At 51.0% G+C, this 15745-nt stretch overlaps 1 protein-coding gene across 3 annotated transcripts, besides 3 other annotated features; it reads right to left on the bottom strand.

The window, feature by feature from the left end:
* Positions 1-2935: 2935 nt before the first annotated feature.
* CATSPER4 (cation channel sperm associated 4) lies at positions 2936-15298 on the bottom strand. 3 transcript variants are annotated; one of them, NM_198137.2, is made up of 10 exons: positions 15060-15298; positions 14470-14613; positions 12012-12113; positions 8117-8214; positions 7823-7943; positions 7481-7614; positions 5842-6016; positions 4859-5070; positions 4381-4546; positions 2936-3411 (listed from the first exon to the last, which is right to left on the bottom strand). In NM_198137.2, the coding sequence occupies exons 1-10, from the start codon at positions 15270-15272 to the stop codon at positions 3358-3360; spliced, it is 1419 nt and encodes a 472-aa protein (NP_937770.1). In that variant the 5' UTR covers positions 15273-15298; the 3' UTR covers positions 2936-3357. The 3 variants fall into 3 exon arrangements, with proteins under 3 accessions (NP_937770.1, XP_011539734.1, XP_011539735.1); XM_011541432.4 differs by lacking the exon at positions 2936-3411 and having other exon boundaries at positions 4456-4546; positions 4859-5066; XM_011541433.3 differs by lacking the exons at positions 2936-3411; positions 4381-4546; positions 4859-5070; positions 5842-6016 and adding an exon at positions 6867-7274.
* Positions 3473-4445: an enhancer, noted in NCBI's record as "H3K4me1 hESC enhancer chr1:26527946-26528918 (GRCh37/hg19 assembly coordinates)". NCBI's record gives its function as "activates a minimal SCP1, AML or CMV promoter by ChIP-STARR-seq in naive H9 embryonic stem cells {active_cell/tissue: H9 hESC(naive)}" and the evidence as "EXISTENCE:reporter gene assay evidence [ECO:0000049][PMID:30033119]".
* Positions 7429-7928: an enhancer, noted in NCBI's record as "H3K4me1 hESC enhancer chr1:26524463-26524962 (GRCh37/hg19 assembly coordinates)". NCBI's record gives its function as "activates a minimal SCP1, AML or CMV promoter by ChIP-STARR-seq in naive H9 embryonic stem cells {active_cell/tissue: H9 hESC(naive)}" and the evidence as "EXISTENCE:reporter gene assay evidence [ECO:0000049][PMID:30033119]".
* Positions 14595-15412: an enhancer, noted in NCBI's record as "H3K4me1 hESC enhancer chr1:26516979-26517796 (GRCh37/hg19 assembly coordinates)". NCBI's record gives its function as "activates a minimal SCP1, AML or CMV promoter by ChIP-STARR-seq in naive H9 embryonic stem cells {active_cell/tissue: H9 hESC(naive)}" and the evidence as "EXISTENCE:reporter gene assay evidence [ECO:0000049][PMID:30033119]".

The raw sequence follows: 15745 nt of genomic DNA, 5'->3' as shown, positions 1-15745 counted from the left end.
CCTCCATGTTCCTCTTAGCCTAGTGAGGGACTTGGCTCAGTGTGGAGGAGCATTGTAAACTCTAGTCATCTGTGGGGTCCATTTGCAACAAAGATCTAGTTTGCACTGAACCTATATGTCTTGCTATAGGGGTCTCAAGTTTTTATTTGCAGGGAGGGATGTTTCCACTGAATCTGACTTTATGTTTTTTCCATATAGTTAATCAGTTATCCCTGCCCCCTTATGGAAAAGTCCATCTTTCCCCCAACCAACACCACATTATCTTACTGTTACTTTATAGTAAGCCTCAATATTTGGTCGGGTGAGTCACCCATCTTGTGCTTCAAAATTATCTTGACAGGCCGGGCGCAGTGGCTCTCACCTGTAATCCCAGCACTTTGGGAAGCCGAGGTGGGCAGATCACTTGAGGTCAGGAGTTCGAGACCAGCCTGACCAACATGGTGAAACCCCATCTCTACTAAATACAAAAAATTAGCTGGGCTTGGTGGCGCATGCCTGTACTCCCACCTACTCGGAAGGCTGAGGCAGAAGAATTGCTTGAATCTGGGAGGTGGAGGTTGCAGTGAGCCAAGATCGTGCCATTGCACTCCAGCCTGGGCAACAAGAGCAAAACTCCGTCTCAAAAAAAAAAAAAAATTATCTTGACTATTCTTGGCCTTTTGTTCTTCCTTACATATGTTAGGATCAGCTTAACAATTTCTACAAGCAACCTGTTGGAATTGTGATTGGAGGTGCCCTGCAATTATAGGTTCAGTGAGGATTGACATCTTTATGATATTGAGGTTTCCTGCCCACAGAAGCTCCCTTGAGAAGTGTGACCTGGGCTCTGAAGTCAGACCTGGGTTAGGATCTCAGTTCTGTGATGGAGGATAAGTCCCCCGTGGGGACATATCCTCTTCATACCCACTTCACTGATGGTCATGAGGATGAAATACTGCGTGTGAAGCACTCAGCACCATGCTTAGCACCTAGTAGGTACTCAATGAGTAGAACTGCTATTGGGAATGATTATCCCCTGCTGCTCCTGTCATCAGAATTGGTGTCTGCTTCCTGGACAGTTTGCCAAGGATGCTCCTGTCCCTGGTAAAAGTTATGGACTCATAGGGAGTCCCCAGAGGTCCACTGATTGTAGCTGATGGGAAACCCATCAGGTGAGACCATAGGGGTGATGAGACACACAATTTCCAGCCACCTCCCAATATCTTCCCCCGCACTGTCCTAGGAGCTCAGAATCCGGGGCCCCACTCCTAACTCAGGCTCAGTAAGGCATGGGGAGTGGTAGTTGCTCTTTGCTGGAGTAGGGAAGGGGAAGGGGAAGGGGAGAGTATGACTTCCTGGGCCCTCAGTTCCAGGCCAGTTTGGGAAGGAACTAGCCTGCTGAAACTCCAGGCTGTTAGGTTGGCCCGGATGGGAAAGACAAAGGCAGAGACAGATGAGATGACAAACAAGATGAAGGGAGTAGATAGACAAAATAGCATCCTGGAGGAGATAGATGGTCAAGGCCAGGAGCTCCATGGAGGTCACCCTGCTGTGCTCCTGACTGTAAGCTCACTGATGCTCCAAGCCTTTCAGACAGTTAGGGGTGAAGGATAGCCATACTCAAACTGTTAGCTCCTCCTGAAGACACCATCTGATCTGCCACCTTCTTCCCTCTCTGGCCAACAAGAAGAGGGGCTGAGAGGGCCCCCAGAGAAAGATGGGTGGAAAGAGTATGTAGATACTCACCAGGCAGGTTGAGGGCGCCATCTCCAGTAAGTAGCAACAGCAGCAGCAAAATCCGCTGGGTGCCCTTCTCTGTGCTGCTGATGGTCCTGGAGGGTGCTGGGAAGAAGTCCTGGCTCAAACAGGGGAATAGATTAACGGCTCCGAGACAGTAAGGCACTGCTGGCTCTGTTGCTGCCTCTCATCTGCCTACTGAGTGCACCATCCATCCCCAGGGGCCAGACTCCTTCCCAACAGACCCCAGGGGGCTTTTCAGAGTTGGAACCAATGCTGATGGGAGGACGATGGGGGGTGGGGTTTCCCATCAGCTGCAATCAGTGGACCTCTGGGGACTCCCATTCCAACTGGTGAATATCGCCACGGCCCCTAAGTGTCAGGCTTCGCTGAACAACAGGGCAGATGTCCAGGCCTTCCAGGCTATCCCCTGACACCTGCATCCCAGGGACATAGCTGATCCCATGGGTCTTCCACTTCCTGGGATAAGAGGGGATTATTTGATTTTAGAGATGGAGATCAATCTCACCCTCTCTCCATCGCACAGATGGGGAAAACAAGGCCAAGTGACTCACTGAAGGACCAGAACCGAGGTTTCCTGTCCTCCAAGGCAGCTCTTTCTATTGCCCATAACTGCCACAATTTTCTGACTCTCCCCAGATTGCATAGCTCAGGAACCTGCTGAGGCTCTCAGTGGCCTTGAGTATGAAGATCCCAAATAGGCTTCACAGGTCCTAAGTTCCCCACCAGACTTCATTCATCTGACCCGCAAAATCTTCCTCTCCTCTAGGAAGCTGCCAGGACCCACATTTTAAGTAGTCAGTCTCCATTGCCCTAGGATGGAGGTGCCTGTACTTGTGTGACTTGGTCATTGGTGATCCCATCAGACAAGGGCTCCCCAGAGTGAGGACCAGTCTCCATCTTCAGACAGGGAGAGAGCAGGTAGGGCCATCTCCTTCATCAGACAGGGGCTCCCTCCCATGAGGACCAGACTTTCCTCCACAAAGCTTAGGACCCTGAGGGCAAGGGTTATATCTCTACCATTAAGTCAGAAATTTTTAGGGGTGCAATTCTCCCTCCCATTAGACTGGATGCTCTTCAGGGCAGCCTGTGACTCTCCCACCAGACAAACGGGATTTTGAGGGGCAAGATCTGTCTTTCCTATTAGACCCAGGCAAGTGCCCCAAGGAGTTGGAGATCCACCAGTCAGAGACATTGATTCCAACACAAAACTTTATTGTCAACACACAGATGTCTGGCCCCACTGGCCTTGCCTTTCTCTTCTTGGTTCTGGGGCCCACTGAGGCCCCCCACCAGCTCTGGGCAAGAGCAGGGGGCCAGGGATCCCCATCCTTAGGTCAAATCCTGGCTGCGTTGGCCAGCACCCCCTTCTGTGCTCATCCTTGCTGCTAGGGTTCCCACTCTCATCATCCAGCATCCTCCTCTCTCCTTGCTCCACCGGACCTGGGGCTCACAGGCACCAGACCTGCAGGTGCTGCCACCTTCACAGCCCCTGGCCTCTGCCCAGGTATAAGGGAGAGGATGGGCTCTGGCCAGGCTCTGCCAAGCCACACTAAGGACACAGGAAGACGCAGCGGCTGGGTGTGTGTGTGCAGGCCCCTTGGCTCCCATCCTGGCCTCTCAGTGGCTGCTCTTGTGTTTTTTAAGGAGTATTTGTGAGCTAGAGTCATGAACCTGCAAACCAAGAGGTCTTCTTGTTAATCCCCCACTCCCCCCGATATGGCAGCCTCCGTTACTCACCTCCTCCAGTCTCACCAGCTTCCCCAGCCAGGCCTCCCAGAGAAGTGCTTCATAGGTCTAACTTGAGCCTACCTAGTACCCCCTCTGAGTTTGGGAGCCCAGGGTATATCCCAGGCTGATGGTGTGGAGGGGCAGAAAAAGAAACTAAGTAACGTGGGTGTGTGCCTTTTTCTCTCCAGGAGTTCAGGAGACAGCTGGTTTTGTGCACCTTAGATAGGATCCTGGGTCCTGTGCCCACACTATACTTACAGCCTAAGTGTCTGCCACTAGGCAGGCACTGAGCTGGCTCATGCCACACACACTAAGAAAGGGTAGGTTTGAAGGCACTAGAGATGAAACTGGCAGGAAGGGTGGAGCCTTTCCGAGAAGGAAAGTGCAGAACCTAACCAGATAGGCAGTGACAGCTGAGGCAGATGGAAGTTTAAGAGGCAGACAGCCAGGTGCAGTGGCTCACGCCTGTAATCCCAGCACTTTGGGAGGCCAAGGAGGGTGGATCACGAGGTCAGGAGTTCAAGACCAGCCTGGCCAAGATGGTGAAACCCCCATCTCTACTAAAACTACAAAAATTAGCCAGGTGCAGTGACAAGCACCTGTAATCCCAGCTACTTGGGAGGCTGAAGCAGGAGAATCGCTTGAACCCAGGCCGCAGAGGTGGCAGCGAGCCGAGATCGCGCCACTGCACTCCAGCCTGGGCGATGGAGTAAGACTCCGTCTCAAAAAAAAAAAAAAAAAGGAAAGAAAGAAAGAAAAAGAAAAAAGAAAAAAAAGGAGGGGTGGTGGTGGTGAGGGGGACCAGATCTTGGAATAGACAGAAACTTTGACAAATGGTCCAGAGGCCCGGCTGGGCTGGGCTGAGCAGAGTGTCAGGGCGAGTACCCATTGGGTAGGAGAAGGAAGGCACACCTTTTCCATGCTAACGAGCGCACTGAGCAAGTCTTGCTGTTGAGACATCTGGCGGATGTCCTTGGATGACGTAGTCTCCAACGACCCGCTCGTCGACGAGCGCCTGTTCAACACCTCTGACTCCTGCTCCTGGTTGAAGCGGATTGCGCGCACCTCCTCCACAATCCTGGGGGTGGAGCAGTGAGTGCCTTTCAGAAGGCCTCAGGGGAGGGAAGCAGCCCTCCCACCTCTTCCCTGGCGTCACCCCCGCTTCGCTCTCCCACGCAGCCCTGACAGAGACCCAGGCCGAGCTGTGCCCTTGTGTGAGATGGAAGGAACCTGGAGTCTGGATTCCAGTTCCTCCACCAATAGGGTGGGGGACCTCTGTGGGGCCCAGGCTCTGCCTTATAAATGGTGAGGGCGTGAGGCCAGAAGACTCTGACGCTCCGCCCAGCCTTGACTCACATGACTTGGGGGCAGCCCCAGTACCCTCCCCTACATGTTGAGTTCATCTCGGATCTCCTTGTACTGCCTCAGGTTCTCCTGTATTGCCTCAAGCACCAAGCAAAAGTTGTCACACGTGTTTTCTGAGAGGTTCGACAGGGGGCCTCCCGCAAGGGGTTCCTGGAGGAGACCAGATTTCTCCGAGCGGGCGACCACACAATGCACCAGTGGCAGCTGGTCATTCTCCTCCTCTTCCTCTGCGCCTGTCTGGGAAGCGGGGGATAGAGAGGGGTCGGGACAGCTCAGGCAGGCACGCCCCCGGCACCCTTTTCCTGCTTGGCTTCAGGATGAGTCTCTTAGGACCCCAGGGTTCTAAGGCCCTCATTTCAGCTCTCACCAATCTTAGCCTCACTGCCTTGCTGGGGGAACCCAACTTTAAATGCACATGACCTCCCCCCACCTCTTTAAAAATTCTCACCCCATTTCAAAATTTAGCCCTGCCCCAGATTTCAACCCTGATAAACCCTACCCAGCAAATTTATAAAGCCCTGCCTACCCTCAAGCCCAGGCCTCCAGCACTCCACTCTTTTAGAAGTACTCCACCCCTTTCCCCAACCTTATGGAAGTACTGCCCTGAATGAATAATACCGTAGCTAACATTTATTGAGTGCTTACTATGCGCCAAGCACTGTTCATTTACCCATTAACCCTCATAAAATAACCCTATGAGTTAAGTACTATTATTATTCCCATTTTACAAAAGAAAAAAATTGAGGCTTAGAGTGGGTAAATGCCCCAAGGTCACCCAGCTGCTCAGTTTTGAGTTGCCATAGAAATCTAACATCTAGAAAATCCACACCCCTCAGAAGCCCCAGTTGGTGGGTGGGCACTCAAGATGGGGGGCTGCTGCCTCCAGGCCTCCAACTTGGCTTTCTCCAGGCCCTTGATTATGCAAGCACACACATACATGCACATATGTTCAAGTCCGCTCTCATACACACTCCTTTTCCTCCCTTCTGCCCTCCCCATCCCACGCACCTCACTAAAGGTTATTCGTTGCTGTTGTCCCTGCTCTCCTGCCTTCATCATTTGCTCCAGGTTGGTGGTCACCACGATGACGAACAGGTTGATGCCAATGAAGGCACCGATGGTGATGAAGATGGTAAAGTAGATGGCACCCCCAATCTCCATTGCATATTCCCTCTTCTCTGTCCTGCAGATGGCAGGCAGGGGCCCCATCATTTCCCTGGCCCTTCAAGCCTGAGTTTCCTTGTCATTGAAATGGGAAAATCATCCCAAGGCCTACTAGAACTTCTGCCTGTGTCACTGCTGTTGTGCAGATCCCATTCCCTACTCCTGTCTCAATAGCTGCTCTCTACTAAGCACCTACTGTGCTGCCAGACAGTGAGCTGATTCTCTAACCAACCCTGCAAGGTGGGGACGTGCACATCAACACTATTAAGTTTAATCTATTAGCTACACTCCTTTTTTTTTTTTTGAGATGGAGTCTCGCTGTGTTGCCCAGACTGGAGTGAAGTGGCGTGATCTCGGCTCACTGCAAGCTCCACCTCCTGGGTTCATGTCGTTCTCCCGCCTCAGCCTCCCAAGTAGCTGAGACTACAGGTGCTTGCCACCACGCCTGGCTAATTTTTTTTTTTTTTTTTTGAGACAGAGTCTCACTCTGTCACCTAAGCTGGAGTGCAGTGGCGTGATATGGGTTCACCGCAACCTCCGCCTCCCAGGTTCAAGCGATTCTCCTGCCTTAGCCTCCTGAGTAGCTGGGATTACAGGCGCCCCACCGTCCGGCTAATTTTTGTATATTTAGTAGAGACGGGGTTTCACCTTTTTGGCCAGGCTGGTCTTGAACTCCTGACCTTGTGATCCACCTGCCTCAGCCTCCCAAAGTGCTGGGATTACAGGTGTGAGCCACTGCACTGGGCTTTGTTTTTGTATTTTTAGTAGAGATGGGGTTTCACTGTGTTAGCCAGGATAGCCTTGATCTGACCTCGTGAGCTGCCCACCTCGGCCTCCCAAGGTGCTGGGATTACAGGCGTGAGCCACCGCGCCCGGCCCCGGCCAGCCTGATTTTTATCCACTACCTATGCCATAATGGAGAATGACTGTAGAAGCCCTTTATCTACTGGGCTTCTATACTCACATGTAGAAGATAAAAAGAAATCAGTTAAGGGGTCCCACTTTCTGGAATAAACTGGAAAGAAATAGGGCTTAGACTTAATAGAAAAGAGGTAAAGAACAGAACACAAAAATGAATGTGGGCAGTGGGTTTAAGAATGAATGAAATGAGACCTGAAGTTCCCAGGAGTTCAGGCAGTTTGGTGGGCTCCAAGGTGGGCTGGGAGGTTGCTCTGTAACCTGAGGCATAACTGCAGACCTGCTGCCTTATCCAAGGCCAACTACCCAGCTGGTTAGCATGATGGGAGAGGTCCCCATTACAGGGTGGGAATGGGACTCTGAATATATGGAGATTCAAGGGTGACAAGGCTTCAGGTATCACAAGTCCAGGTATTTCCTTTTCCTCTGTTTAAAGACCTGGGAACCCCCACTTCTACTGGGCCATCCTCATCCCAATCCCTGGAGCTCCCACTCTCAGCCTGGAGCTCCACCGGCTACCCTGCCCCATAGGTGGGATGAGGCTGGAAGTCCCACTGGCACTCACTGGAAGTCACTGTAGATGTCCACCCAGCCGTCCTGGGTGATGCAGATGAAGAGGGTGTACAGCGCAACCTGTATGTTCTGGAAATGCTTGGGCACGAATGCACCAAAGAGTGTTACTCCAAACACGGAAAAAACCTGTCAGAGAGAAAAGAGCCCCACCCCGACTTCACCAAAGGGCCTGGAAATAGGACACACAAATGTCATGTAAATGAACGCTGCTGAGGAAATCACAGGGATTCAGGCCCACAGGCCTCTCTGCTTTTCCAGACACCCCTCTATTTGCAATGACCCAAGGGCCCTGTTCAGGGAAGGGAAACAGCTGGGGGCGGGGGCAGGCACTGACCAGCATGAAGAAGAGGATGAGGACCATGATATTGGCCATGTCAGGCACCGACTGCAGGATGACGCGGATGATCCGGGCGAGGGGCTCCACCGCCATGCACACATGCACCAGACGAAGCGCCCTGTGGCAGAGCCTGTCAGGGGTGCCCCTAGGCCCTTCCCAGCCCCTTCCCTCCTCATTACCCCCACCAGCTGCCCAGAGAGGCAAAGCTGATCTCCAGCTGGTCGTTATCCCCCCATCTCATTCCTGGGTTCCAGATAGGTCCCCCTCATTTCTCCAGAGCTCCCCGCTCACCTGAGAGTGTAGTTGATGGAGGGAATATTGATTTCATTAATGAAGAACCGCAAGAGCAAGATAAAGACGATAATGAAGTTGAGGATGTTCCAGCCGTCCTGGGGAGTGGGCCAGCCCCAGTGGGGTCTGTCAGGCCCAGCCCATGGGGGCATCCTAGGTCTGCCCTCCCCACATCCCAGGGATGAGGGCTCAATGTCCCTCTCAGAGCAGGGCCAGTCAGCTGCCATCCACTGCTGTTACCCTGCCGCCCCCCAAACAAGCCACAAAACACACGTGTACTCTCTGTCCCATACATGTGTCAATAGCCAAATGCAGTCTCAGAGACACACAGCAAAGACCCTTACAGATACATGGCTGGTCCCTAAGCTGAGTGCCCACCTTGGCTAAAGCATGCTCAAAACAGCCTTGCCCTACAGGTAGGTAACATGAAAACACTTGGCTGTTCCTGCCTTTGTGTGACACACACTACAATTAATAATAAAATGAAAATGGATACTAGTAAAAACATAAGGAATACTGCTTCAGTAGCCAGTTCTGAGGTGAAATAGCTCTCACGGCACAAGAAAGGGAGACAGGCGGGCCAGGCGCGATGGCTCACACCTGTAATCCCAGCACTTTGGGAGTCTGAGGCAGGTGGATCACGATGTCAGGAGTTTGAGACCAGCCTGGCCAACATGGTGAAACTCCATCTCTACTAAAAATACAAAAATTATCTGGGCATGGTGGCACGTGCCTGTAGTCCCAGCTACTTGGGAGGCTGAGGCAGGAGAGTTGCTTGAACCCAGGAGGCGGAGGTTGCAGTGAGCCAAGATTGCGCCACTGCACTCCAGCCTGGGTGACAGAGTGATAATCTCAAAAAAAAAAAAAAAAGAAAGAAAAGAAAGAAAGGGAGACTGGTACATTTTGCAAGCCCTTTGTCCAATAAGACACTTACACAGGAATGAGATGGGGAGGAGAAGGAAACTCACAGGTATGAAAAATCTGAACAGGGATCACACTTCTAGAAATCTGATCCACAGATACTCTGGTTGAAGTACAAAATTACATTTGTATAAGGTTAAGAATAACCAACATGCCAGGTGCAGTGGTGCAAGCCTGTAATTCCAGCACTTTGGGAGGCTGAGGTGGGAGGATTGCTTGAGCTCAGGAGTTCCAGACCAGCCTGGGCAACATGGTGAAACCCTGTCTCTACAAAAAACTATAAAAATTAGACAGGGGTGTTGGCATGTGCCCCTGTAGTCCCAGCTACTTGGAGGGCTGAGAGGATCACTTGAACCCAGGAGGTCGAGGCTGCAGTGAGCCGAAATGGGTGTCATTGCACTCCAGCCTGAGCAACAGGGGTGAGACCCTGTCTCAAAAAAAAAAAAAAAAAAAAAAAAAAGGAAAAGAAAACCAACGTGTCAAATGATCAGAAGAGACTGATTGGATAAACTATGGCACATTAAATTCCATTAAATCAATGGAATACTATGTAGCTATGTAGCTATAAAAAGAAAAATGAGGCCAGGTATGGTGACCCTTGCCTGTAATCCTGGTGCTTTGAGAGGCTGGCGGGAGAGGATTGCTTGAGGCCAAGAGTTTGCGACCAACCTGGAAAACATAGCAAGACCTCATCTCTAAAGAAAAAAAAAAAAAAAAAGGAAAAGAAAGAAAAATGAGAAAGATCTCCATGTACTGATATAGAAAGATTGTCAGGATCCATTCAGTGACAAAAGTAAGTGCAGAATAATGTTTATACTATGTTACTGTTAGGAAACGGAAGATCGAGGGTATATACATATTTGCTGATTATTGTAAAAATAAATACTGTGAGGCTGCTATAGTTTGAATGTTTATCCCCTCCAAATCTCATGTTGAAATCTGATGTTCAGTGTTAGAGGTGGGACCTAATGGGAGGTATTGGGTCATGAATGGCTTGGTGCCATCCTGAAGGTAATGAATGAGTTCCCTCAAGAGCTGCTTATTAAAAAGAGCCTGGCATAGGCCGGGCGCGGTGGCTTATGCCTGTAATCCCAGCACTTTGGGAGGCTGAGGAGGGCGGATCACGAGGTCAGGAGATCAAGATCATCCTGGCTAACACGGTGAGACCCCCGTCTCTACTAAAAATACAAAAAATTAGCCAGGCGTGGTGGCGGGCGCCTGTAGTCCCAGCTACTCGGGAGGCTGAGGCAGAAGAATGGTGTGAACCCGGGGAGGCAGAGCTTGCAGTGAGCCGAGATCGCGCCACTGCACTCCAGCCCAGGCGACAGAGCGAGACTCCGTCTCAAAAAAAAAAAAGAAAAAGAAAAAGAAAAAAGAGCCTGGCATCTCCCATCTCCCCTCTCACTCTCTCTCTTTCTTCCTGTCTCGCCATGTGATCTGCACATGCTTCACCTTCTGCCATGAGTGGAAGCAGCCTGAAGCCCTCACCAGAAGCAGATGTTGGCACCATGCTTCTCACACAGCCTGCCGAACTGGGAGCCAAATACAACTCCTTTCTTTATAAGTTATTCAACCTCGGGTATTCCTTTATAGCAACACTAAATGGACAAAGACAATAAAAAAGAGACTATAAATATAAAAACATTACCTAGAAAGGATAGTGGTGGGAGAAGAGGGATGAGGGGACAAAAGAGAAGCAAGAATTCTGTGTGTACCTTTCAACATAGTTTTGACCAGCATGTATCTGCATTAAATATTCAAAAAGAAAACTTTTTTTTTGAAACAGAATCTCTCTCTGTCGCCCAGGCTGGAGTGCAGTGGCGCAATCTCAGCTCACTGCAAACTCCGCCTCCCGGGTTCAAGTGGTTCTCCTGCCTCGGCCTCTAAGTAGCTGGGATTACAGGCACGCGCCACCACGCCCAGCTAGTTTTTGTATTTTTAGTAGAGACGAGGTTTCACCATGTTGCCAGTCTGTCTCAAACTCCTAGCCTCAAGTGATCCTCTTACCTCAGCCTCCCAAAGTGTTGGGATTACAGGCATGAGCCACTGCAGCCAGCAAGAAAACTATACTTAATGAAAAAAAAAAGTTCTTCAATGTATTGGGGGTCCAGTAAGCACAAGTCCTCCTGGCCTCTCGTACTGAGTCTGCACCTTCACATACACAAGGAGATACAAGTCTGCCTGTCTGCAGATCCATCCATATATCAATTCAGCATGTAGCTCCTGTTGTGTGCCATACCCAGATCCAGTTCCTGAGAATATAGGATGCCTGCCCTGTTAGGCTCACAGACTATTTTGAGGAAGATGGATAAACAGAAAATTTTAACTCCATGCAAAAAAAATAAGTGCATAGCATCATGGAGACACAAAGCAGCACCTAACCTAGCCTGGGAGAGACAAGAAGACTTCCTGGAAGAGAAGACATCTGAATGAGTTTGTAAGTAGGAGTAAAGCAAGTGAATAGGGAAAATCAGATTTTATAACACATGAAAATTACATGAAATTCCAATTTGGGTGTCCACGAACACAGCCATGCCCACTTCATTTATGTGTGGTCCATGGTTGCTTTTGTGCTGCCATGGCAGAGGTGAGTCATGGTAACAGAGGCTGTACAGCCATGAAGCTTAAAATCTTTATTATCTGGTCCATTACAGAAAAAGTGTGCTGATCCCTGTTGATCTCTGTAAATTAAGGTAGATGCTTTCAGCCCCATTTCTCAGACAAGGAAGTCAGGTTTGTCCAAGACTACAGAGCTGGGGAAGGCTGGAGCAGGGATTGGAATTGGAGCCCAGGGAGGCTGCACTTCTAGTACCAGTTACTTTCTGCCACATCATACACATCTCTGAACTAACACACTCTGTCTACACACACACACATACTCACACCCTCAGTTTGTAGGGCCAGGAGTACAGGGGCAGACTGGGTGGTGTGCAGTCCCCAGGGGGAAGTAGGGGCAAAGGGCTCAGGATCTCACCTTCCAGAAAATCCAGAAGCCATTGAGCCAGCCAAGGAGAACCTCACAAAGAAGGATGGTCAGCACAATGTCATCTATGGTAGAGAACAACTCATAGTGTTTCTACATGGGAGACAGAGAAAAAAGAGGGGCAGAGAGGTCAGTGGAGCAGGGCCTGGGCAAGCCGGCAGGGAGAGGATGTATGTAGGGGAGGGAAGTCCCGTATCACTGCTGCTCTTGGTCCTCAGCAACCTTGTCACTTCCTTTAAAACACACTTTGCCTGTGCGTGCCAGGCACTGTGCTGGGGCTATCACACATCACTTCATGTTACCATCACTGTTGTCCTGCAAAGTAGGTTTTATTCCCGTCTTACAGAAGTGGAATCAGAGTGGCGCCTGTGTGCACAGCTAGTTGATAAAGATGGTTGTCTGACTATGAACTTTTGTCCCTAACTTCTAGAATAGGGATATTTTGGAGAGGGAGGTAGGAGAGGCAGAACAGCCTCCAGGATTGGGAGGAAAAGGCCTGGCCTCTGAGGGTGGAGAACACCAAGCTCCATCTGTCCTAACCTCTCCTGCTATTCCAGCTCTCCAAATACTCCAAGTTAGGCCTGACCAAACTCCTGGGTATCCTGCCACTCATGGGTCCAGGACATGCACCCTGGATGGATGAATTGGTAGATGGGTGACTGGGGTCTGTCCAGAGCCCAATTCACTTTCTCTCAACCTCGAAACTCCTTCAGCTTCCTTATGGCTGCGACCCCACTAACAGCCCCCATAGTGCCCGACTCCACCTAGCAGTCACCCAAGTCACCGTGTCTCCTCCCTTTCTTTCTTTTTTTTTTTAATGTGACATCTCAGCTCACTGCAAACTCCGCCTCCTGGGTTCAAGCGATTCTCCTACGTCAGCCTCCCAAGTAGCTGGGATTATAGGCGTGCGCACCATGCCTGGCTAATTTTGTATTTTTGTAGAGATGGGGTTTCACCACGTTGGTCAGGCTGGTCTCGAACCCTTGACCTCAAGTGATCTGCCTGTCTTGACCTCTCAAAGTGTCCTCCCCAAAAGTGCGCTTTACCCCAAAGTGCAACAGACTCAGTGCCTTAGGGCCCACTGTCACATATGGCCACTGGAGACAATAGGACATCCACACCATTATTCAAAAAAGCATTCTAAATAGTCCTCAGCCCAGCATGGTGGCTCACACCTATAATCTCAGCACTTTGGGAGGCCAAGGCTGGAGGATTGCTTGAGCCCAGGAGTTCCAGACCAGCCTGGGCGACAGAGCGAGAACCTGTCTCTACAAAAAAAATTTTTTTTTTGAGATAGAGTCTCGCTCTGTCGCCCAGGCTGGAGTGCAGTGGCACAAACTCGGCTCACCGCAACCTCCGCCTCCCTGCTTCAAGCGATTATCCTGCCTCAGCCTCTCAAGTGGCTGGGATTATAGGCGCCCACCACCATGCCTGGCTAATTTTTGTATTTTTAATAGAGACGGGGTTTCACCATGTTGGCCAGGCTGGTCTTGAACTCCTGACCTCAGGTGATCCACCCACTTTGGCCTGCCAAAGTGTTGGGATTACAGGCATGAACCACTGCGCCTGGCTCAAAAACATTTTTTTAATTAGGCATGGTAGCTCGTGCCTGTAGTCCTAGCTACTTGGGAGGCTGAGGCAGGAGGATCACTTGAGTCCAGGAGTTCAAGGCTGCATTGAGCCAAGATGGCGCCACTGCACACCAGCCTGGGTGACAGAGTGAGACCTTGTCTCTAAAAAAAAAAAAAAAGAAATTAAAACATCAAGGATAAGTCACACTAAACTTCAAGTTGGACACAGAGAAGTCTCTCACATGCTGTTTCTTTTCCCCAAAAAGTCTCCCCCACCTCTCTTTGCCTGGCCAACTCCTACGTGCTCTTTTTTTCTGTTTCTTTGTTGTGGTGACTGAGATCACATCCTACTTCTTTACTCTCAGCTCCAGTGTCACTTTCTCCAGGAAGCCAGCTCTGACCCCTGAGATTAGGTTCGAGTGCCTTCGTTGAGCCTCCATGTACTCTGGGTGCTACTTGAGCACTTGTAATGACAGTTTCTGTGTGTCTGAGACAGGACCCAGTTGTGCTTATTATCCCTGGGACCCTGGCAGTCTGCACAGTCAGTGCCTGGCACTGAGTGATTCTCCCTTAGTGACTGCTGGTTAGAATTGGATACCCCTTCTCCACAAGGCACCCATTTGCCTCCCTCTGCTCACACCATTCTTCTCCTGTCCCTCCTGTACAAATCCAATGCATTCCTCAAAGCCAGGCTGCAGAGCCCTCTCCATCATGAAGTCTTCCTTGATCTCCAGATTCCTAGAAGGTCAGAGCTGACAGACCCTTGAAGAGCATCCAATCCAACCATCATAGACAGATGAGGAGCCTGAGGCCGGAAGAGTTCTTGCCCCAGGCCCCCCATTAGGGTTAGTGGGGCAGAGGTCATGCTGGCATCCCACCTGGTCCAGGTAGGAGTTGGTACGGAGAGCGATGGTGATGGCATTGATCACCAGCAGCAGGGCCAGCAGCAGTTGGAAGGCGGGGTGTCGGAGCAGCTGCTTGATGTACATGTGAGTGATGAACTCCTGCATGTCCCAGGCGTCCTGGAAGAGGGCAGGACCTTCCTTCAGGCAGGTGTCACCATAGGAAGCCTCTGCCTGGGGGTTTGCTCTTAGAGAATGGGGGTTCCTGGGGCCCACTCTAGAGGGGGGAAATCATCTGAGAGTGGATCATGGAATGGAGACATCAGTGTAGAGATCACTATCTAAATGGCCACTAAAAGTGGGTTACTATCGGGGGATTTTGTGGAAGTCATTGCCAGAGAATCTCTTTGGGCTCTCTGATAGTGAAGATGATCGTTATATAAGGGTTCCTATGGGGGGCATTGCCAGAGAGTTACTAACATATCATGGGCAGTCACTCAGGGATCAGTGCTAGGGAGGGTCTTCTGGGGGCGTTTAGAGGGTAGAGGGGCAGAGTTACCATGAGGGCCTGCTGCCCATGAGCACAGCTGCAGAAGGGGCCACTGTGGGGCGAGAGCTATCCTTACCGCTTTGTTCGTGATTTCCTGGCGGTTGATGAGCACTTGCTCCTCTGGCCGACCGTAGGACTCGTGAATGGTACTCTGCAGGGGAGAGGGGCGGCCCCTCAGTGCAGCTACTGCCCCTCCAAACCCCATACGGTCCTCCTGAGTCCCGCCCCACCCCTCGAGGCCTGTATGGGAGGTCCATTGCTGCCACCAGGCCTTTTCATTATCCCTCATGTTTGCTCAGTCTCTTCCTTCTCCTCAAAGAATCTTCACTCCAAGTGGTCTCACTCCCCCTCGTGGTGATATCACAGAGGCCTCTGTGACCTCCAGCCGTCTGCATTCTACTGAGGAATTCCAACCTGGAGAGAAGCTCCTCCCATTGGCCCTCCTCCGCATCCCACAGAGGAAGTCTGGGGATGCTGTGGGGATGCTGGGCTGGGGTTGGAAGTCAGAGGCTGATGGGAGCAGGTCAGATTTCCCGTGCAGCCTGAATGGAGTCACAGGGACATGTCCCTGCCTTGGATCCAGGAGGTGGAGGTGAGGCTGGAATGAGGAGTGAAGGAGAGAAGTGTTTTCCCCAGGGCCTTCCCAGGGCAGACCTCAACCTGCACCCTTCCCCACCAGCTGCCCTGTCCTACCAGCCCAGTCTCCAGGACTGTCCCCACCACCTTTCCGTGCAAAGTGCATTTCCCCATCTACAAAGTGGA

Source organism: Homo sapiens, chromosome 1 (assembly GCF_000001405.40).
Source record: "Homo sapiens chromosome 1, GRCh38.p14 Primary Assembly".
NCBI lineage: Eukaryota > Metazoa > Chordata > Mammalia > Primates > Hominidae > Homo > Homo sapiens.
Note: the sequence above shows the minus strand (reverse complement) of the source record. Positions and strands in the feature narration are given on the sequence as shown.

What these genes read in the sequence shown, in the direction of transcription:
- CATSPER4 (NM_198137.2), bottom strand. Translation starts at nt 15,272, where the DNA reads ATGAGGGATAATGAAAAGGCCTGGTGGCAGCAATGGACCTCCCATACA. An exon ending in TCATCCTCTTCTTCATGCTG is followed by an intron (nt 7,615 to 7,822) that starts GTCAGTGCCTGC and finishes TCTCTCTGACAG; the next exon opens with GTTTTTTCCGTGTTTGGAGT. An exon ending in ATCCGAGATGAACTCAACAT is followed by an intron (nt 4,547 to 4,858) that starts GTAGGGGAGGGT and finishes CTCCACCCCCAG; the next exon opens with GATTGTGGAGGAGGTGCGCG.